This window comes from Homo sapiens, chromosome 8 (assembly GCF_000001405.40).
Source record: "Homo sapiens chromosome 8, GRCh38.p14 Primary Assembly".
NCBI lineage: Eukaryota > Metazoa > Chordata > Mammalia > Primates > Hominidae > Homo > Homo sapiens.
This window is the reverse complement of record NC_000008.11, coordinates 86645560-86669245: the sequence shown is the minus strand read 5'-3', so window position 1 is coordinate 86669245 and position 23686 is coordinate 86645560. Positions and strand designations below refer to the sequence as shown.

The window sequence follows — 23686 nt, the reverse complement described above, 5'->3', positions numbered from 1 at the left end:
CATTTTTATTTGAGACAGTTTAAAAACTGTAAAATCCACAAATATTAAGTGTACAGCTCAATTATTTTAACATATTCTTTTTTCATTTTTTAAAATTTATTTCCTGTAATATTGGAGTTACAATGAGCTTTTAAAGCAAATTCCAGACACTATATTTCATCCATAAATATTTCAGTGTAGACAAACATTTTATTTATATATTTATTTAATCTTATTTTATTCTTTTAATGGCAGGGTCTTGCTCTGTCACCCAGGCTGGAGTGCAGTGGCACAGTCATAGCTGACTGCCGCCTCTAACTCTTGGGCTTAAATGATCCTCTTGCCTCAGCCTTCAGAGGAGCTGGGACTACAGGCGTGCACCACCATGCCTGGATAATTTTTACACATGAATAGTCTTGTTGCATCACCATCACCACCCTCCAAGATAAAGGACATTTCCCTCACTAGAGAAAACTTCCGGTCTACCCAGGTGACAAAGCCCCCTTGCCAAGGTAAACACTATCCTGAATTTTGTCATCATTTAGTAGTTTTTCCTGTTCTTTTTTTTTTTTTGTAAAAATTTATTAACATTTATTTATTTTAAAAATTGTTTTTCCTTTAATTTTTTACATTGACGTATTTTTTCTTTATACAAACACACACACAGTGAAATAAATGTCACTATTTTAAATGTCATGAAGGTTTTGTTTCATCTGTCTGTATCAAAAGAGGAAGATTCATAAACGTTCCGACTTTAAGAAATTCAAGTTTTTTGGATTTTTTTATACTTTAAGTTCTGGGATACATGTGCAGAACATGCAGGTTTGTTACATAGGTATACATGGGCTATGGTGGTTTGCTGCACCCATCATCCCATCATCTACATTAGGTATTTTTCCTAATGTTATCCCTCCCCTTGTCCCCCACCCCCCGATAGACCCCAGTGTGTGATGTTCCCCTCCCTGTGCCCATATGTTCTCATTGTTCAACTCCCACTTATGAGTGAGAACATGCGGTGTTTGGTTAAGAAATTCAAGTTTTTAACTAAACTAACTTAACCTCTTCAAATGTTTCATCTTTTTTTTTTTCCCTATGAAGCAAAGCCCACGGCTGTACCACCAGTAAAAGAAAGCGATGATAAGCCAACAGAACATTACTACAGGCTGTTGTGGTTCAAAGTCAAAAAGATGCCTTTAACAGAGTACTTAAAGCGAATTAAACTTCCAAACAGCATAGATTCATACACAGGTATTATCAAAGGGTGAATTATCATAGTGGGAGGGCTGGCTATCACCAAGAAACCCTGTGACTCAAAGTCACAGATAGCTTCTATTTTCCTTACTTCATATTCTCAATCTAACTAGGAAGCAGAATTTAAATTAAATAACCTGCAAAGGATCATTTGCCCATCTTTGGTGAAGACAAGAAATACAATATTCCTGCCTATATTTAAAAGGCAGTCCAGATCCTCTCCTGCCCCTAATTACCTTTGAAAAGAAGGCCCAAAGCACTCCGCAATATGTGCACTGACACACTCACACATCATTATAAAGTGTCAGTCTTCTTCCATGGCTTCACATTGTTGATTATTCTAATTGAACAAATCCTTTCCTGCAGCCTCCCAGAGGCAGAGAAGGGCTATGTGTGAAGGGACATGGACTACTTTAATGGGCTGACCCTCTGCCCTCCCATTCAGTGCCATACTCCTTCTGGCAGGATGTGGCCTTTCTGCCACCTGCCCTGGGCAATCAATCCTGCAACTTAACTACTGAGGAACTAAAGATCTGTGGCTGCAGTGATGTCTGTGCAAAGTCCTTCCAACTTTTCTTGAAATTCTCGTTGCCTGATCCAAATAGTACAGCTACCTGTGTGGACAGACTCAGAGGGGCCACTTCTTAAGGAGACTGGAAGGAAACTCTCCACTTTCGGAAGAGGTGATAAGATCATTTAACATCTCTTGTAAAGCCCGGAGCCTCACAGTCCAGAGGCAGAATGGTGTTGAATGTTTAATAGAGCCTCCTATGGCAAATTACTCTGTAGAGGGTAGTGCCCCAACCTCCCCAAACTAAGCAACAGAATTCTTTCTGTGTTTGTTCTATGTCATTTGGATTTCACCACTTGCTGTTTTTCCAGATCGACTCTATCTCCTGTGGCTCTTGCTTGTCACTCTTGCCTATAACTGGAACTGCTGTTTTATACCACTGCGCCTCGTCTTCCCATATCAAACCGCAGACAACATACACTACTGGCTTATTGCGGACATCATATGTGATATCATCTACCTTTATGATATGCTATTTATCCAGCCCAGACTCCAGTTTGTAAGAGGAGGAGACATAATAGTAAGTGGGGTTCGGGAAAGGCAGAAACTGAAACGTGAATAACATCTAATTGGGCTACAAAAAGTAACAGCATTGTTTTATTTAATGTTTGACTGGCTATCTGCATGGATAATTGCAAGAAGTCATGAGCAATAATAACAAGAAAACAATTATAAAACAGCCATTGAGTGTTCACAATGTGCTGGAGAACATGCATCTCCCTGTACCTTAGTTTCCTCATATTTAAAGTGAAAATAACAAAAACACCATCATAATATTGATGGAAAGATTAAATAAGTTGAGGCCTGTGAAGTGCCTAGATTGTGTCTGGTGCCTAGTGAATGAGTATTAAATGTCAGCTAGCATTATTGTTCTAGTTAACTTATTTATAATACTTCCCTTAATCCTTTCAATGACACTATGAAAAAGATGTAATTAGCCCCATTTACAAATGAGGAAACTGAGGTTTAGAGAGGGAGGTTATTTGCTCAAAGCCCAAAGCTGGATAGTAGCTGAGCCAGGATCCTAACCCAGGCCTTGCCTCTACAATCACGCAGGTTCAGGTTAGCAAGTGTTTCAGAATTTGACAATACTTGAGCCTACAAAGAGAGTGCCAAGTCTGAAATGTTGAAACTATCCACATATTTTACCTAAATAATGTTTTTTAAATAGATCAATTATCAATACCAAAAGAAGAAACCATTTAATATATAGTCCTCTGGTAATCAAGCCTCAAACAGTCTGTGAAGCAGTTGTTTTCTATCACATTACAGTCTACCGTTCACTTCAATACTTTTAAAAATAAGATAGGTATTATTTCACTCATTAGAACCTACTCAACCTTCTTAGGAGACAGCCTGGTGTTGTGAGAAAGTACTAGGCTGTAATATTTTAGGACACGGACTGTGCCTTGTTTATCTTTGTGTAGTAGGAACCAAGTGAAGTGCCTCCATGTAGTAGAGAAATCAAGCACAGGGTTTTAGGCCTGGACACTTTGGGAAAACCTAACTTACAAAGCAAAGCTTTCATGACCCTTTTTTTTCCCCAATTTTTATTTTATATTCAGGAGATACACATACAGGTTTGTTACCTGGGTATCTTGGGTGATGCTGAGGTTTGGGGTACGATTGGCCCAGGTACTGGACATAGTACCCAATAATTAGGTTTTCTGCCCTCCCCCACTTCCTCCCTGCATTCCTCCTCCCTCTAGTCATCCCCAGTTTCTATTGTTCTGATCTTTATGTCCATAAGTATCCAATGTTTCACTTATAAGTGAAAACATGCTGTATTTGTTTTTCTGTTCCTGCATTAATTTGCTTAAGATAAGGGCCTCCAGCTGCATCCATGTTCCTGCAAAGGACATGATCTCGTTCCATGGTGTATATGTGCCACATTCTCTTTATTCAGTCCCACTGTTAGTGGGTACTTAGAATGATTTCATGTCTTTGCTATTGTGAATAATGCTGCGATGAACATGCAGGTGCATGTGTCTTTTTGTTAGAAAGATTTGTCTTCTTTTGGATATATACCCAGTAATGGGATTGCTGGGTCAAATGGTAGGTCTGTTTTAAGTTTTTTGAGAAATCTCCAAGTTGATTTCCACAGTGGCTGAACTAATTTACCCTCCTACCAACAGTTTATAAGTGCTCCCTTTTCTCTGCAGCCTTTGCCAGCATCAGCTGTTTTTTGACTTTTTAGTAATAGCCATTCTGACTTGTATGAGATGGTATCTCATTGTGGTTTTGATTTGCATTCCTCTGATGATTAGTGATGTGGAGCATTTTTTCACTTGTTTTTTGGCTATTATATGGTCATGACCATTTTAATCAATATAGATTCACCGCACTGTCCAATATGGTGACCGCTAGGCAAATATGTCCATTCAAATTTAAATTTGAATTAGTTACAATTAAATACCATTAAACATTCAGGTTTCTCAGCCACATTGTTCATATTCTCAGAACTCAACAACCATGTGTCTGGTGGACAGCACAGAAGATTTCCACCATTGCAAAATATACTATTATTCAGTGTGGTAAGAGAATGAAAGAGCAATGAGCCATCCATATCTCCATCAATACAGCCAAACCACAGAGAGGTAGCCACACCCCTCACAGATATGGGCAAATCACAAGTACGTAGAACACCTCCACTGGTGTTTTGTTTTTTAATGAATATGGCATCTACAGGTCTATCTTTTTATTCTTTACTTGCCAAATTCATCACATCCTATTTCTCATGATCAAATGCAGTGCCCTTCCTAAGAAATTAGCATTCTTACCCTTAGGAGAAATTATCTTCTCCTGGATTTATTCTCAGTGTTGAGGGAAGTTTATTGTCAATCCAATCAATCTAAGAAACAGAAAAATGTGTTTTCACAAGCACAAACCCAAGTCTTATAACCACTACCCCAAGCCCCTTCCCCAGCTAACTAGAAGGAAGCTACCTTTCCAACTGTGGCCAATGTGCCATCCTCCTCCCAAGGCTCAGCAAGGGCTGCACAGAACATGTCCTCCAATATCACAATAGGAAGAGCAGACTGACTGCCTATATGGCATCTTAGGTCCATGTAGAATTTTGAAGAAGACAGTTAGGTCGCTTAATCTCCTTAATATTTTCTGTTGAATCTTCAGAAGGTCTTAAATTATCAAAAAGCTGAAAGGAATAGCTTTGAATATTTTTTTCTTCCTTAAAATAATTGTCATTTTCTGGGAAGTGTTTTCTATATTTGAAATCTTTCCTAGAAAGAAATACTAAAGGCAAAAGCCAAAGCTATGCCAAAAGTCTATTCAAAAAATTCCTTGTGCAGACTTTATAGCATTAGTTAAATCACCAGCACCATCCCCAGAGCAACCTGGCAGCTTGATGAATGGTGATGACGGTGTACAAATAAGAAGTAAACAACAACAAAAGGAACACTAATTTCAACCTCCATTAGACTCACAAGGGGGGAGAAAATCAATGTTTGACAAATGGAAAATGACAAAATCAGTAAAGGGAGACTTTTATTTTCAATTTTCTAAGAGGCTTTTGCACACAATGAAGTGTTAAAACCAAGAAAAATAACCGGTAAAAAACACACTCAACAGGCTCTATTTAAAATGCATTATCATAAGCTACAAATATAGAGCAGGAAATAATTGCTTTGTTTGTTCAAAAGAAGTTTAATGGTTTCTTTAATTTAGAGTAAGTAGCTGCAGCCTTTGAAACTTGATTACATTTTGGTAAGAAGACTATGCACATTGAGTACCCAACCTGAAGGTCTCATATTTAGCTATCCATGCTACCATTGGTAACACCACTGAATCATTCATTCAAGAGACATTTATTAAATACTTACAGTTGCTAGGTAGATACATCTACTTAATTTATTAAATAAATGCACCATAACTGGAGGATGGAAATATGAATTCCCCAAGGCCTTGAAGGAAAATAAGCAAGTAACAGACAACAGATTGAGGTGCTAACAGCTACAATAGAAACCAGGAGGCCTTACAAGTTTTTCACAGCATTTATTTATAAAATCTTGCTCCTAAAAGTGGTGCTACAAAGATAACAGAATTTTGAAACGCAGTCAAACAAAAAGTCTCTTGTATGTAATTTCCTTTATAGATAGCAGAAATTGAGTTGGAAATGACAGTGAAGATTATTTAGATAAGAGACACTCACATGCACAGCCCTTTGCTAAACCTACCAATCACAAAATTCACAGAAATCCTCAGTGTCATCTAGTTACAATGTCAATTAGGCCTTCCTTTATAATCAACTGCTTTTGGTACTTAATCCTCTCAATTGCTCTTTATAAACCAATCTGAAGAAAACCACTCCCTTCTCTGTGTTTCCTACACTTTACTCATAATTCTGTTATTTAATTGTGTTAAATATCGATTAGGCTAATTATGAAGTAGTAGAAACCAACAGTCTGGGGTCAAATTTCACTTCTGAAATTTGCTAATAGCATTAACTTGAAGAAACTAAACTTACCCTTTTATTGAATACAATCTTTTTCATCCCCCAAAATGGGAATAGTCGTACTGTTGCAGGACTTTTCCTTAGTTCAGCTAAAGACAGGGTCCTTGGCTCTCCCATGGCCATGAAAATTTAGGCTCGGAGACGGTTTGAAGGGTGACTGAAGCAGGGCTTTATTGTGTGAAAAGGTTTAAAAAGGGGGGAAACAGGGATCCTCCACAAGGTCAGAGCCCCCTGCTAGAGTGCTTGTGCCCACTGTTCGAATTCCAGGTTCCACACAGGAAGAGGAGGGACCAGGCTCCTCCCTACTGCAAATGTAGCAAACTTTCCAAGGCTCCACCTCAGTGGGCAGGCTGGTTGGAGTTTCTCCAGCAACCCCCTCCCACCTGGCTATCGCAGTACCCACCTCATAAACCTATTATGAAGATTGAATAAGACACCTAGCTCAGGGTCTGGCATATAGAAAATACACAATTGATTGTCAAATGAATTAAATGAATGGTTGTCCACACACTTCACTTTTCCCTCTTGTCTCCTATTTGTCTATGTATCTCTCTTTCTTACCTGAGGATAAGTTTCTTGAGAGTAGGGACAGTATTCGATTCACTTATTTATCTACCCTAGGAACTTAGAGTATACTCAAGAAATGTTTGAAGGAGTGAATGAATGATAATCTCAGTTCGAGGATTTTATTTCTTTGAATAATTATTTAATCTGCATTATAATTGTTTCAGGTAATATTATTTTAAAATACTTCTTCCATCTGTCCTGTGTAAAATTATGAAGTTTCTGTGAATTGTTTATCAGAAGGAGTGAATACGGGTTGCGGTGTGCGGCTTGGCGCAGGCTCACAAAGAGCTGCAGTGGCGCCCCATGCTCAGCTTTGCGGACTGAGTTGGCGGCGGCGGCACGGGGACAGCAGCGCACCCTCGCAGCCCTGCACCTGGGCCAGTCTCCTGAATATTTACACATTGCCGAATCTCCTGTGGACAAGACACCACGGAGGCCAGGACTGTTCCATGATGGGTTGAGCCTCTTCTCGTGCCTAGAGATTCCAAGAATCCTATCCATCTTTTTCACCAATATGGTTTGTGGACTGTGATGACCCAAATCTGACATCAGTTCTGGAACGTCCAGAAGATACTGAGAACAACAATTACCTTCGTCAGCAATTGAAGTGGTTGATATGTGAACTCTGCAGATTATATAACCTTCCTAAGCACCTGGATGTTTGAGATGCTAGATCAACCACTACCCATGGGTCAGAATGGGAAAATAGAAGTGACTTCAGAAGAAGAGGAAGAAGAGATGGCTGGAGATATAAAATACTTAAATCACTGTAAGATGAAGAAAGAAGAACTTATTAGTGGGAAAAAGTTGGAGGATGAAGGAATTGAAAAAGAAAATTTGGCAACATTAGAGAAAATTAGGAAGACTCAAAGTCAAGGCCATTTAAATGTGATGTGGTGTTTGGGTCAGTGCAAGTTTCAGATGGACTTATGAAAGAGCTCAGGGACGTATGCAGATCATGGAGTTATAAAACATAAAACAGGTCTGCTGGAATTTTTTTGTCCTCTTCCTGATAGAGAATTAACTCTTACATGATTTTTATCTTCTGGCAAAAGCAAAGCAATATTGCTTGAAAAGGATTTATTCAGTGGAACTCGTAAATGACAGTACATGACTGGCATGTTAAACTGCAGAAGGTCGACCCTGATAGTCTTTTGCACAATGATCTTCAGATCAAAAAAGAAAAAGAAAGCATAGAATATATTTTGTTTAACATGTCTTTTAAGAAACTGTTGTGGTTGTCAACTGGGTTGTCGTCCTAAAGTATGAATCTGTTATATATTAACTGAAGTTGCTAATGGCTACATTTTTACTGACTCATATGGGGGAACGAATGAAGAACCAAGGCCAAACACAAAACACAAAAAAACCCAGGAAAGTAGAACTTTAGGGAGGAGGCGATCTGAGAGGTAAATGGCTGAAATGCTACTGGATTTGTGTTTCTGGACCATGGCTCCTAACACCAGAAAGAAGGGCCTTTTCTGGGGTAGGAGTATTTCTTAAGAGGCCTGGGAAGAATGTTATTGCCTTGAGCTAACTGGCCTTATGAAGAGGACCTTAAACTGAATTGCCAAGTTATTAGTATTGGTATTCATAGACTTTGGAGGGTAGCAGGACAATTTTCCATTTTATCCTCCATTTGTTTGAGTGGTGTTACCTGTTCTCTCAGGAGGATATGTATTGGATGGGGGAGCACTGTGTATGGAACTTCTCACAAAACAGGGCTGTAGCTGTGCCTACACAAAAGAATTGGTCATTATGCAAATAAATGCCATCTTAGTCAGAGGCAAAGCCAGAGTGCAGTTTGGAGCTAATAAGAATCAATATAATCTAGCAAGAGCCCAACAATCCTATAATTCCATTGTACAGATGCATGAGAAAAATCGTCCCTCTGGACATGCTGCCACCTGGCCATGCTTCCTTTCCCTTTCATCTTTCTCATTGACCAATGGGCTTGGAGCATTGAGACCACACCCTATTCTGAGTTCTAGTGTGGCCCTGGTTAACTCTCCTCTGGATCAGTTGCACATCTGCCCGGTAGATGACTGGATGTGTTTAGCAGTGGTTGCCAGGATCGTGCTGATATGGCCCCAACCCCACCTCCCACCCTGCCTGTGATGTCTGAAGAAACCCTACAGAGCAAATTGGCTGTGGCCAAGAAAACATTGAGAGAATATCAGCATACAAACAACTCTGGTGTAGGTACAAGAGCAAAAAAGGAGAAAATGAAAAATGGCAGCAATCCTGAGACAACCACTTCTGGTGGTTGCCATTCACCTGAGGATATGTGCAAAGACCATGCTTTCTCCTCTACAACTGTCTGCTCATGACACCATGTTAGCTGGTGGTGTCTCTTCCCCTGGTGCCAGTCTCACTAGCATGGCGGCACCTCAGAATCATGATGCTGACATTGGTCCCAATCTCATGGATGAAACCAAGACTTTCTCATTGATCAAGAGCCCAGGACAACTCTTCAACAGCTCAATTGTCTTGCCTCTGAGTCTACATCCTTTGTCAATGGGGAGGGCCCTGCATCATCTGCTAACCTGAAGGATCTGGAGAAACAACAAAACCAAGAAATTCTGGATCAACTGGAAGAAGAAAAGAAAGCAAGCAACTGAAAGCAGGGAGCCAAAGGGAGTGGTTACAGGTTCAAATTCAGACCATAGGGATCCTCATGTCCGAGAAGGCAGAGTTATGGACAGCTCTGTATTACACTCAGCATGCTGCCAGGCAGTTTGAAGGAGAGTCAAAGGATCTGGCCAGCTGCCTGCAGTATTCCTGGCGCGTGTGGGAGAGTTGGAGTGGGCTCTCTCTGCTGTCTCTACATAGCAGAAGAAGACACAAATACAACAAAGAGTTAACCAAGGAGAGAGATGCCCTCAGGCTGGAGTTATATGAGGATCTGAAGCCACAGAACTCAGAATTAGAAGAGAAATTTGAGTCCTAGTGACAGAGAAGTCAGGAATCCAGCTCAACTTGGAGGATCTGCAAAAGAAGCTGGAGAGGCCAAGCTCCTGCTTCAATAGTCCTCAAGCCAGTGTGAACCCCCTGATGCTAACCAGCAGTTACAGCAGGCCATGGAGGAGCAGGCACAGCTGGAAGCACACCTGGGGCAGGTTATGGAGTTGCTGAAACAGCTACAGATGGAGAAAGACCAATATACTGAAAATCTGAAAGGAGGGAGGGCCATGCGGTAGCAGAGGATGCAGCCGATGTCAGAGCAGGTGCACACATTGAGGGAGGAGAAGGAGCACAGCATGACTCGGGTACAGGAGCTGGAGACCAGCTTGGCCAAACTGAGGGAACAGATCGCTGAACCCCTGCTCCTGGAGCCCCCAGCAGGGCCCTCTGAGGTGGAGCAGCAGCTATAAGTGGAGGCCGAGCACCTGCGGAAGGAGCTGGAGGGTCTGGCAGGACAGCTCCAAGCCCAGGTGCAAGACAATGAGGGCTTGAGTCTCCTGAACCGAGAGCAGGAGGAGAGGCTGCTGGAGCTAGAGCAGAAGGCTGAGCTCTGGGAGGAGCAGGTGGAGGTGCACAGGCAAACCCTGGAGACCATGCAGAATGACCTCACCACCATCAGTCATGCAGTCTTCCAGAATGGTGAGCTCAAAGAGCAGCTGGCCAAGTTGCAGACTGGCTTCATGAAGCTGAACAATGAGAACATGGAGATCACCAGCACACCACAGTCGGAGCAGCACATCAAGAAAGAGCCGAGCGAGAAGCTGGGTGAGCTGAAGGAGATGGTAGAGCTGAAGAGCCAAGAGGCTCAGAGTCTACAGCAGTAGTGAGATCAGTACCTGGGTCACCTGCAGCAGTATGTGGCCACCTATCAGCAGGTGCCCTATGAGAAGGAGCTCCACAAGCAGTTACTGCTGCAGACCCAGCTCATAGACCAGCTGCAGCAGGAGGAAGCTCAGGGCAAAGTCGTGGCCAAGATGGCCTGCCAAGGGTTGCAGGAGACCCAGGAGCACCTGGAAGCTACCAGCCAGCAGAAGTAGCAGCCACAGGCCCAGCTGACCCTCATGGCTCTCCATGGGGAAGGAGATGGACTGGACAGTGAGGAGGAGGCGCTTCCGCTCATGCCAAGCATCCCGGAGGAACTGGAGAGTCGGGAGGCCATGGTGGCATTTTTAAACTCAGCTGTGGCCAGTGCCGAGGAGGAGCAGGCATGGCCACGTGGGCAGCTGAAGGAGCAAAGGGTGAGCTGTCAGGCTGTCAGTGTCTGGCTCACCTGGTGGCCTCAGTCCAGAAGGAGCCAGAGGCAGCAGCCCTAGTCCCAGGGACTGGAGGCGATTCTGTGTGTGGGGAGGCCCACCCGGCCCTGCAGGGGGCCATGGAGAAGCTGCAGAGCCACTTTATGGAGCTCATGCAGGAGAAGGTGGACCTGAAGGAGCAGATGGAAAAACTGGAACGTCGCTGCATCCAGCTGTCTGGAGAGACAGACGTCATCAGTGAGGGGGAGGCCAGGGCATGGCAGGGGGAGCTGCACGGTGGTCAGAGGGGTCCCAGCGTCTGAACCCTGTCCTCCCGCAGGAAAGTACATCACACTGTACCAGAGCTAGAGGTCAGTGCTGAAGACGTGGCACCAGAAGGAATACATCAGCAGCCTGGCCCAGGACAAGGAGGAGATGAAGGTGAAGCTGCTGGAGCTGCTGGAGCTGCAGGAGCTGCAGGAGCTGGTGTTGCGGCTTGTGGGCAACCACAACAAGTGGCATGGCAAATTCCTGGCAGCTGCCAAGAACCCTGTTGATTAGCCCGCTCCAGGTGCCCCAGCTCCCACAGGAGCTCGGGGCTGCCAACAAACAGGGTGATCTTTGCAAGATGAGCCTCGCCCACAGCATGGAGCCTGCACAAGAAGAGGCCAGGGAGGGTTCTCCCCATGACAATCCCACTGCACAGCAGATTATGCAACTGCTTCCTGAGATGCAGAACCCCCAGGAGCACCCAGGCTTGGGCAGCAACCCCTGCATTCCATTTTTCTATCATGCTGACAAGAAATGAGGTGAAGATCACCATCATCTAAAAGCCGGCCACTGTCAGCAAAGCTTGGAGAAGTGGGGCCAGAGGCTCCATCCCCACCAGGTCCTTACCACCCCTTCCCAGTCACCCCATTATCCTTAGAGGAGCAAGGTAAGACCCCTGTGTGATGGGGGGAGACAAACAAGTGCAGACCCTTTGCCACCTTGGCCAGGGCTGAGTCCTTAATTTCTGGATGATTATGTTGTTATTTAAGAGCCAGAGGCTCATAGGGTTGATTTATTTGCAGGAGGCCTGGTGGCCTCCCTGATGGCCTGACTCACTAAGCAACTTTTCCTTCACGGGGGCTCCCATCTTCTTACTCAGAGAGGCAGCTGAGGCAGGACAATGGGGCTAAATGTAGACCAGGCAAGAGAACAGGCTGCTGGGGGTGGCTCCCCTTCCCCAGTGTACATATTCTATCTGTGTAAAATTTTGTATATTCCAGGGTAGGGCCACCCCCTGTATCATACATAGAGGAGGTTGAAGCTGGTACATGGGGAGGAGGTTCTAGTAATTATTTGGGACTGGGAAACTTCTTTATTGATAGTACGGGACAGAGAAAGGAGGCAAGGATGGGGTCATGGTGCCCTGGTGATGCAACTTCTGTTTATTTTGCTTTTTCTTTTGGAATAAATGGATTTAGCCATTTTGGTTGGGGGGGTGGGAGCAGAAAGAAGAGGTAAATACTAAGTAAATATACTAACACCTGAGTAGATCTTCTTCAAAAGCTATCTATTGGAAAAGGATTTAGGTGCAATTAGCATATCCTTCCTAAAGTAAGCCTCCCCTGAAGAAATGTCACTGGTATAATCATGAGGCTTAAAAGAGGGAGAGATAATTAAGTGGGGTGACATTTTAAAAATAAGTACCTAATTGTTACCGGTAAGCATGCTGATCCTCATAAGGCTAATGATGCCAAGTTTATTTACTGCTCTAAAGAAGATAGATTTTAAAATCACTAAATCACATTTCATTTAATCTAGCAAGTTTTAGTTGCATTTACATTTATTCAATCATAGAATCATAGACAACCTTGAAAGTAAACAGACAAATATGCTAAGAACATTCTTCCTGAGTGCAGGGTGGAGGTAGTATTTTAACTTAACTGTCTAGCACTTGATATCTATCTGGCTGTCCCATATAAACTTTGAGGGAAGTGACTGATTTTACTCTTGTGGTACATGATTTATAACACTATTTATTTGAAGCCGTATCTATGTCTACCCATGGCTCAGTAAGCCATTTTGTTTCACAGTAAAAATCATTAAATGAGCATGTCATATATTTTCTAATATATTTCTGTAAAATTTAGTACATGTATATGAGTAAAAATTATAGCCAAAAAAGTCAGTAGTGTGGGGAGTAACTAGGGAGTTGACTAACCAATCTTTAACATTGATCAAGCAGCAGTTTAAAACTTCCAGACAGCCTGAATGATAATTGTTAGAAGACGCTACTTCCATGTGTCCAAGTTATAATGCTTTGGTCAACTAATTAAGAGCCCTTAGAAAATCCTTTACTACATATAAGTGAAACATAAAAGTCCAATATTCAAATTAATTATTTTAGGTCTGAATATTAACAAATGCCACTCTAGTCATCTATCACTCGTCACACATTTATTGAACACCTACTGTGTGTTAGACACTGTGTTAGGAACTGAGGAAATAGAGGACAAAGATTGGACCCTACTGTCTTACATAGCTCAGAATGTCTAGGACAGACCAACAAAAGAAAAATGGTGGGATTTTATGTTGTGAGTCATGAAAAGGCATGCCCAGGGTGCTATAAGGCTCAGAGAAAACCATCTGACAGAGAAGACCCTTAGTCCAAATCTTGATGGATGAGTTGGAGTTACCTGCACCTTTTTCCTCCACAAGAAAAAAAGAAAAACATGTTCTGAGCTCTGGGACAGCATGGGCAAAGGCATCCCTCTGACGCATTTGAGGAAATGCTGAACAGAGTGGGTTCTGTTTCTGGGATGCTCCGGGAAGTGAGTGGAAAACAGAAAGTAGAGCTTTGTATACCCTGAAAAGGTGCTTGCACTTTTTTCCTTAAAATCATGTGGAGTTGCAGGATTTGACATAAATGAGGATTTTAAGTGATCTGATTTAGAGATCATCTGGCGGCCACTGTAGAATGGATCAAGGGGAACAAGACTAAAGGCAGAGACAGCAGTGCCAGAAAGCAGAGAATGGCCATGAGAAAATTTTAGGAAGAATGAGTAGAACTTGGCTATTGGTTGTATCAGGGCTGAGGGAGAATGTGCAGTGTAGGACCACTAAGCAGTGTAGATGAGATTGCTCATAGGATACTCGGAAGCAGGAGGAGCAGCAGTTTGGCTCAAGGAGAATGAAGAATGATGATGAATTCAGGTTTGGTGCAGTGGATCTGCTAAGTGAAGAGGACAATGGGCAGTTGCTTACCCATCAACAGCTCAAGAAAGTGATATTAGTGGAAGTAGAGATTTGGTAGCATCAACCCGCACGGTAATCTCTGAAACTATAAATGTGGGTGAGATTTCCCAGGAAGCAAGTATGATGAGAAAAGAGAAGAGAGCTAAATCCTGGGGAATGTTGACTTTTAAATGACTAGCCCAAGAATCCAAGAAAACTGAAAAGTAGGAAGTGAAGATATAAGTAAACTAAGAGTGGGATTACAGATTCTTTGAAAAGAAAAAGTTTCATGGAAAAAAATTGTCCAAAAAATTTTTAATGCTTCAGAGGTTTTATTCATCTCTCCATTTCTTTATTCATTCAGTTAATAAATATTTATTGGGCTTTTAGTATATTCTAGGCACTAGTTAAATTTAGTTGCTAAACAAAATCAAACCTGTCCTCAGATAGATTACCGTTTAATGGAGTAGACTAATTTTAAGTAAATGAGCCAAGCAGTATACGTGTCATTTCAAATCATGATGAATGCCATAACAGGATGCTAAGTGCCATAAAGGATATCCTGGGCATGATCATTAGGAGATCATTGGTGACCTTTGCACTGTTAGCCTTGATGCAATGAGAGAAGCAGGAAGAAGCCAAATTGCCACCAAATTGCCATGAGTTAAGGATGAATGTGAGGGAAGGATATAGAGTAAAGCAGGTAGGCAACTCTCTTGAGAAGCTTGATTGTGGCAAACAATAGGGCAATAGTAAGAAGAAAACTAAAGCCAAACATTTTTTGTTTTAATACCTGGGAATATGGAGGATGTTTATTGGCTGAGATTGGAAGGAACCAACCAAGAGAAACAGTTATAAATTTAAAAGTGAGAAAAAAATAATTGATGAAATTGGCTAAAATTAATGAAAATACAAATATCTTTCAGGTGGATTCAAATGAGCTAAGGAAACACTACAGGACTTCTACAAAATTTCAGGTAGGTGACAAACAATTTCAAAGTTGCTCACGTGATCTATTACCATTTTGACTTTAAATCCCATCTATAGATTTCTATAAACAAAGTTTGTACATACGAAGTTTTATTAGACAATGATAAGCCTGAAGTTTCTGCCTCTCAATAATTACCTGATATGTTTCCTTGTATGTGCAAGTGGGTAATTCAACATATAAGCCCTTATTAAGCAGACCAAAATAAGTTAGTGCCCAGATTTGAATTCTAATTTACACATCAGTAAAGGAATATGGGTTGTATACTTTGTCTTGTCTACAAAATTCTAGCCCCCAATTAATGTAGCATGATGTTGTAAAGGTTTGCAAAATTGTTTTTACTCCCGCTTCTTTCTTGTTCTCATATATTCAAAATAAAAATTATTAATAGAAGAGAAGCAATTGTTTAGATAACATGGAACGTTCCTTTCCTAAAACATAACGTTTTATTGCCCATAATTATTTTCTAAGTACTTTGTTCTCTGAGAAATAGGCAGAGGTCAGGGGTTATTTAGGTTTACCCAATTGGAGTGAACTCTAGCCTCTCACTTCAAAGACAATTCTTTAGTGGCCTCAGAGTTTGTTTAAAAATACAAATCTGGGTTTAGGTCTCAGACTATCCTTGTTGGAAATCTACAATGATTACATCCCTTTCAATTGTTTTTTTTTTAATCTCCGACTAATTTTCTTTATTAAATATTGCCACATACTTAGGCATATTCATAAAAGATCTCTATGCTGCTTTGATGAATTCTACAAAGAGGATAAATACTTTTGTAATGCCATAAAGCTTATTCCAAACTCTTACTTTCCTGAGTTTGAATAAGGACTAAATTAATTTATATATTTAATATGTGTTAGCATAATGGCATTTCAGTCAATGACAGACCACATATATGGTGATGGTCCCATAAGATTATAAGGGAGCCGAAAAATCCCTATTGCCTAGTGACATCACAGCCATCATAACATTACAGTGCAATGTGTTATTCACCTGTTTGCAGTGATGCTGGTGTAAACAAACCTACTGGGCTGCCAGTCATATAAAAGTATAGTACATACTAATATGTATGGTACATAATATTGGGGATAATGGCAATAAACAACTATATTACTAGCTTATGTATTTACTATCCTGTACTCTTTATTGTTATTTCGGAATGTACTCCTATGAATTTTTTTAAAAGTTAATTGTAAAACAGCCTCAGGCAAATCTTTCAGGAGGCATTCCAGAAGAAGGCATTGTTATTATAGGAAATGACAGCTCCACCCATGTTATGGAGCCTGAAGACCTTCCAGTGGGGCAAGATGTGGATGTGGAAGACAGTGATATTGATGATCCTGACCCTGTGTAAGCCTAGGCTAATTTGTGTGCTTGTGTCTTGGTTTTTAACAAAAAAGCTTAAAAGTAAAAATAAAAACATTTTAAAATAGAAAAAAGCTTATATAATACATATATAATGAAAATACTTTTGTATAGCTGCACAATGAGTGTTTTAAGCTAAGTGTTATTACAAAAGAGTAAAAAAGTTTTTAAAAATTCAAAAGCTTATAAAGTAAAATAGTTACAGTGAGCTAGGTTTACTTTATTATTAAAGAAAAAATTGTTAAATAAATTTAGTGTAGCCTAACTCTACAGTGTTTATAAAGTCTACAGTAGTGTACAGTAATGTCCTAGGCCTTCAGTCACTCACTACTCGCTCATTGACTCACCCAGAGCAAGTTCCAGTCCTGCAAGCTCCATTCATGGTAAGTATCCTATACAGGTGTACCATTTTTTATCTTTCGTATCATATTTTTAACTGTACCTTTTCAATGTTTAGATGTGTTTAGATGCAAAGATATTTACCATTGTGTTACAATTCCCTACAGTACTCAGTACAGTAACATGCTGTACAGTAACATACAATAATATACTGTAATATACAGAGCATGCTGTACAGTAACATGCTCCTAGGCCTGTAGCCTAGAAGCCTAGGCTTGTATGTCTATACCATACCACCTACGTGTGTAGTAGGCAATACATCTAGGTTTATGTAAGTACATGCTATGATATTCACATGATGAAATCACCTAACAATGCATTTCTCAGAATATGTCCCTGTTGTTAAGTGACAAATGACTGTATTTTTGTACCTGATCATTCACTATTAGCTTGTTAACTTCTTGTGAATAGAAACAATATCTTACTCCTATTTCAACCCCAACATGCTTTGCAAATTGTCTTGCACAGGGTTTAGTGTTGGTCAATACTTCAATTCAATTTTCTACAGTTCAATGAGAAATAAATTATCTCTGTCTACACAAATCTGTGCCAAAAATGGTCAATGATTAATGACTGTCTGCCTAGAGAAGTTGAGAGGGGAGTTGAGGAATTGAATAGAAAGCAAGCAAAAAGATCGTTATGATTTAAGCCAAAAACTGTAAGTTTTAGGGTAGCACTATGTCAACAGTGTATCTGCTTTTTTATTTTAAATACATTATTTTAATTACGTTCTGTACACTTAACTTGTTACAAAGATCGATACCTCTACAGTGAAATCAATGAGGTTTGATGATATGATGCAATTTCTAAGCCAATACTTTTAGTAAGTAATTTGTTTATAATAGCTAATCTGGTTAATTCAAACCAGAAGTCCCTATTCTTGTTCAATATCGGCAGGCTTTGAAATTGTTAGGCAATTAATTATCTCAACTCTATGCTTTTGGGGTACAAGTGGTTTTTGGTTACATGGATGAATTATATAGTGGTAAATTATGAGATTTCAGTGCACCCATCACCAGAGTAGTGTACATTGTATCCAGTATGCAGTTTTTTTGTCCCACCCCAAACACACCCCCCCTTCTGGTCTTCAAAGTCCATTATATCACTCTGTATGCCTTTGCATACTCAGAGCTTAGCTCCCACTTATAAGTGAGAACGTATAGTGTTTGGTTTTCCATTCCTGAGTTACTTCACTTAGAATAATGGCCTCCAGCTCCATCCAAGTTGCTGCAAAAGACATTGATTCCTTTTTATGTCTAAATATTATTCCATGGTGTACATATGCCAAATTTTCTTTATCCACTCATTGGTCAATGGCCACTTAGGTTAGTTCCATATTTTTGCAGTTATGAATTGGGCTGAAATAAACCTATATGTGCGTGTGTCTTTTTCATATAATGACTTCTTTTCCTTTGGGTAGATAGCCAGTAGTGGGATTGCTGGATCAAATGGTAGATCTACTTTTAGTTGTTTAAGGAATGTCCATACTGTTTTCCATAGAAGTTTTACATATTTACATTCCCACCAGCAGTGCATACACACTCCCCTTTTACCACATCCATGCCAACATCTATTGTTTTTTGGCTTTTTAATATGGCCACTTTCAGGAATAAGGTGGCATCTCATTGTGGTTTTAATTTGCATTTCCTTAATGACTAGACAGGTCACTAAAAAGCAGACAGTGTGTCTGCTTTTTTATTTTTAATACATTATTTTAATTACTGTTCTGTACAAATCTTGTTACAAAGATCGGTTGGTTCCATATTTTTTGCAATTATGAATTGGGCTGAAATAAACCTATATGTGCATGTGTCTTTTTCATATAATGACTCTTTTCCTTTTGGTAGATACCCAGTAGTGGGATTGCTGGATCAGATGGTTGATCTACAGAAATCTGTGCCAATGTGTTAATATTAAAATGGCTAATGACTAATGACTGTAATCATAGAGGAGTTGAGAGGGGAGTTGAGCAATTGAATAGAAAGCAAGTAAAAAAAATCATTATGATTTGAGCTGAAAACTATAGGTTTTAGAGTAGCACTAGACAGGTCAACAGTGTGCCTGCTTTTTCATTTTAAATACATTATTTTAATTACTGTTCTGTACACTTCTTAACTTGTTACAAAGATCAATACCTGTAGAGTAAAATCAACGAGGTTTGATGATATGATGCAATTTGGGCGGGGGGGCATTTTTTTCATGTTTTTTGGCCATTTGTATAACTTCTTTTGAAAAATATCTATTAATAGCATTTGCCAACTTTCTGAAGAGATTATTTGTTTTTTTCTTGCTGATTTGTTTGAGTTCCTTGTAGATTCTGGATACTAGTCCTTTGTCAGATGCACAGTTTGCAAATATTTCCTCCCATTCTGTGAGTTGTCTGTTTATTCTGATGATTATTTCTTTTTATATGAAGAAACATTTTTAATCAGGTCCCATTTATTTATTTTTATTTTTGTTGTATTTGCTTTTGGGGCTTTAGTCATAAATTCTTTGCCTAGGCCAATGTCCAGAAGAGTTTTTCCAAGGTTATCTTCAACAATTTTTATGGTTTCAGGTCTTAGATTTAAGTCTTTGATTTATCTTGAGTTGATTTCTGTATAAAGTGAGAGATAGGGATCTAGTTTCACTCTTCCACGTGTGGCTTGCCAGTTTTCCCAGCACCATTTATTAAACAAGATGTCCTTTCCCCAATTTATGTTTTAGTATGCTTTGTTCAATACCAGTTGGCTATAAGTATTTGACTTTATTTCTGGGTTCTCTATTCTGTTCCTTTGGTCTATGTACTACTTTTATACCAGTACCATGCTGTTTTGCTAACTATAAGTCTGGTAGTGTAATGCCTTCAGATTTGTGCTTTTTGCTTAGGGTTGCCTGGGCTGTGAGGGCTCTTTTTCAGTTCCATATGAATTTTAGAATTGTTTTTTCTAATTCTGTGAAAAAAAAGTTGGTATTTTGATGGGAATTGCATTGGATCTGTAGATTGCTTTTGGCAGTATCGTCATTTTTACAATATTGATCCTTCCAATCCATAAGCATGAGATGTGTTTCCATTTGTTTGTGTCATCTGTGATTTCTCTCAGCAGTGTTTTGTAGTTCCCTCTGTAGAGATCTTTAACCTCATTGGTTAAGTATATTCCTAGGGATTTGTTATTGTTGTTGTTTTACAGTTGTTGTAAAGGGATTGAGTTCCTGATTTGCTTCTCAGCTTGGTCATTTTTGTATGTGTATTGGTGTATAGCAGTGCTACTGATTTGTGTACATTGATTTCACAACCTGAGACTTTATTGAATTTGTTTATCAAATCTAGAAGTCTTTTGGAGATGTCTTTGTGTTTTCTAGGATACGATCATATCATCAGCGAACAGTGATATTTTGATTTCCTCTTTTTTGATGTGAATGCCCTTTATTTCTTTCTCTTGCTGGATTCCTCTGTCTAGGACTTCCTCAGCTCTCTATTTTATATGTGTGGCCTTACAATATGTTCTTAACTGCTCTTAATTGTCTTAAAATGTCTTAAAGTTTTTCATATACCCTATTAAGACCATGTAAAATTTAATAAAAATGAATAATTATTTTACACAAAAGAATTTCTTATTGTTGTTGCCATCAAGAAAGTATGAAGTATGACATTGTCATTTCATAATGACCAGGGTAACAGAAGGCCAAAATAATTTTAATACATGACAATTTTTGAAAATTTCTTAGCTATAATAATATTTTCAATACCTTCTCCCATCAGAGCTGCTGATTAATTGCAAACATTATTGATTTCTTTGCTCTCCTCTCTCAGCCTGCACAGGCTCTGATAGATACTTTTAAAGCAGTTTATTGGTAGCAAAATGGTTCGAAGTAGACAAGAGTAGAAAGCATTGAAGAGCCTAAATGAACCACAATATAATCAACTGTGAACACAGGAGAATTGGCTGAAACATAAAAATATATCACTACAATGAAAGTACAATGCTTTCAAATAAAATCAAGAATGGACTTGATTTTTAGTCGAAGAGCCCCATGTTAAAAACACTGTTAAAACGTATTTTAACATTAGCAACTATGCCCATTGTATATGTGACAGCTCAATAAAAATCCCAGTAAATGCAACGCCTAAGGAGAGATCAGATGCATGGAGGTGGAAATGAAATATGTTGGAAGAAGGCTACAAAATAGTTTTCATGGTGCTAATACGCCTTAAAAAGCCCCATGCATAGTTAATTGAAAGCAGTTTTGGATTAAACAACAAATAATATATTGTGATTGGTCAACTTTTACAGACATCAGCGTAAATCCATCCATTCCCAGAAAGGCATGTAAACACAACATATTTGTGAATGTGTTCTTTCAACAGTTGGATGTCGCATCAATAATACCATTTGATATTTGCTACCTCTTCTTTGGGTTTAATCCAATGTTTAGAGCAAATAGGATGTTAAAGGTAAGATAACTATATTTAATTGTCTTTTCCCTTATAATGGAAATATTTCTATTTCCCTATAATGGAAATCTTGAAACAATTTAAAGTATCTTAAAATGATCAATATTCTTAATTTTTCCCAAACTCTTCTCCATCTTTCTGCCCTCATCAATGCTATAATTTTTTTTAATGAATGAAGAAAAAAATGTCTACTGGTGAAAGTTGCTCCTGGTTTTTATTTCATATCTCATAACAGATGTTTTTATAATCTAAAATAGGGATGCTTTGTATTTCTAAATTTAGCTATAATTACAAATGAGTATTTTATACTTTTTGTTTTTTTCTATTTGTCCTTTTTCAGTTGCTGAATGCATGGTGTATGGGATGTAAAATTAAGGGGTTAGGTTAGATTACCCTAAATTATCTTACTCATCTTAAATTTTGTAATTCTAAAAAAAAATGTAAACATACTTTTACATCACAGACATGCTTTCACAAGTATGTGAGCACATACTTTCACATCACATTTACTTACATACTTGAATATAACTCAAATGTTTCTCAAGAGGGAATTAGTTAAATATACCAAAATATATTTATATAATTTATATAGTAGAACATTTTGTAGCTTTAAAACAAAGAAGAGGAAGCTTTTTATGTACTGATATGGAAAAAACTTCAAGATAAATTGCTAAGTAAAAAAGCTAGTTACAGAACAGTTTATAGAACAATACTACCTTCTGTATAACAGAAAAGGAAAAATATTCAATTTTTGTGTATTTACATAAACACTGAAAAGCTACAAAAAGAAACTCATCAAAGTGGTTACCTGAGATGGCAAGGGAAAGCAGGAAGGAAAATCAGGACGGATAGGGGCAAGAGTAAGAGTGAGACTGTTGGAAGCATATATTTCATATTGTTTTTGAACTATGTGAATGTATTACCTATTCAAAATGGTTATAAGACATAAATACTTTATAACTCATAGCTTCATTTGATACCTAAAAAGAATTTGAGGAGAGTCAGAAATTGAAATTTCATGTAAATCTTTAACAATAGCAACAATATATTTCCAAAAACAACCTTCTTAAAGGGATCACAAAAGACTTTATAAATTGTAGGTAATTATCTATTTTGCATCTTGGGAAGACAAGATAACATAACCTGGTAACACCAGCAGATCCTGACAACAACAACGACAATAATAGTTGCAGCTGTCTGTTGAATACACACTTGAGGCTACACACTTTGCTAAAACTTTATATTCATTATCTCACTGATTCCTCCCAACAACTTCATTTTAGAGACGAAGAAAATGAGAATTAGCATGGCGGAAAAATCTGTCCAGACACACTGCATATGAGGGGCAGTGTCTGAACTCTATCACATTTATCTAACTCCAAATTCTTTATTATAATCAGATTGACTGGGTAGGCCTCAGGCTGAAAGGGTTTTTTTTTCTCTGCTCTGATATTTAAACTTCAGAGGTTCTTTATCCCATATTTCCAAACATCTGAGACAACTCTAGAGACTTCTGGTTTGACCATGGAATGTGAGAATAAATGGAGGTGGAACACAATAATGTTCCAAGCAATCTAGTGGTCAGGCCATCCCTTATCAAATTTTCAGTCTCACATGGAAATTTCAGAAGGTACCTGCTTGGACATAAACAATTTTCAGAAATTCTCAGGTTTCTATAGATTTAGGAGTTTATCTGGCATTATGATAAAAGCTTATAAAATGCCAACTCTTCATTCCCCATCTCTGTAACCTAAAATGTCCAAAAGCCCTCTCTATCCATTAGATGTTTAAATATAGGAGATCCTGACAGTCAACATTAATCTTCTTTTCAAAGCCCCATAGTCCATTCATATAACTTATTTTTAAGGGTGTCATCTTAATGCACAATTCCCTAGGATAAATATTTATCATCTATATGTCTCCAAGTTATAAATGAGAAAACAAATGAATATACATTTTATTTTTAGTGAACACTTAAGCTAAATTTAAAATCATGCCTTTGTGCAAACTTGTATTAAGAGCACAATAAACAAATTACCACACATTTAAATTATAATCTGAGTGTTTAAGAAGTTTTTTCCTACTTAGGAACTCTGGAAAAAACAAATCATTTGTGTATATTTCTAGTTAAATAGTCATTACTATTACATATACTATTTTTAATTCTAAACGTTCTATTGCAGTCATATCTACGTTGGGCAAAATTTTGAACTAAGTAATCTCTGCAGTCCCTTCTATCTG

The 23686-nt window shown here is 38.9% G+C and overlaps 1 protein-coding gene and 2 pseudogenes across 2 annotated transcripts in view, besides 1 other annotated feature; all 3 read left to right on the top strand.

The window, feature by feature from the left end:
- Nucleotides 1-23686, top strand: part of CNGB3 (cyclic nucleotide gated channel subunit beta 3) — a 169456-nt gene that overhangs the window by 74389 nt on the left and 71381 nt on the right. For both annotated transcript variants that reach the window (NM_019098.5, XM_011517138.3), the window contains 4 exons: nt 1078-1227; nt 2113-2321; nt 15184-15234; nt 21359-21445. In NM_019098.5, the coding sequence (NP_061971.3) occupies nt 1078-1227; nt 2113-2321; nt 15184-15234; nt 21359-21445 (497 nt within the window). The remainder of the gene's footprint in view (nt 1-1077; nt 1228-2112; nt 2322-15183; nt 15235-21358; nt 21446-23686) is intronic.
- On the top strand, nt 4420-8880 carry UBE2Q2P10 (UBE2Q2 pseudogene 10; annotated as a pseudogene).
- GOLGA2P1 (GOLGA2 pseudogene 1) lies at nt 8942-12013 on the top strand (annotated as a pseudogene).
- Nucleotides 11441-11612: a silencer, noted in NCBI's record as "fragment chr8:87669862-87670033 (GRCh37/hg19 assembly coordinates)". NCBI's record gives its function as "represses an EF-1alpha promoter that drives an FKBP-Casp9 reporter gene in an ReSE screen in K562 erythroleukemia cells {active_cell/tissue: K562}" and the evidence as "EXISTENCE:reporter gene assay evidence [ECO:0000049][PMID:32094911]".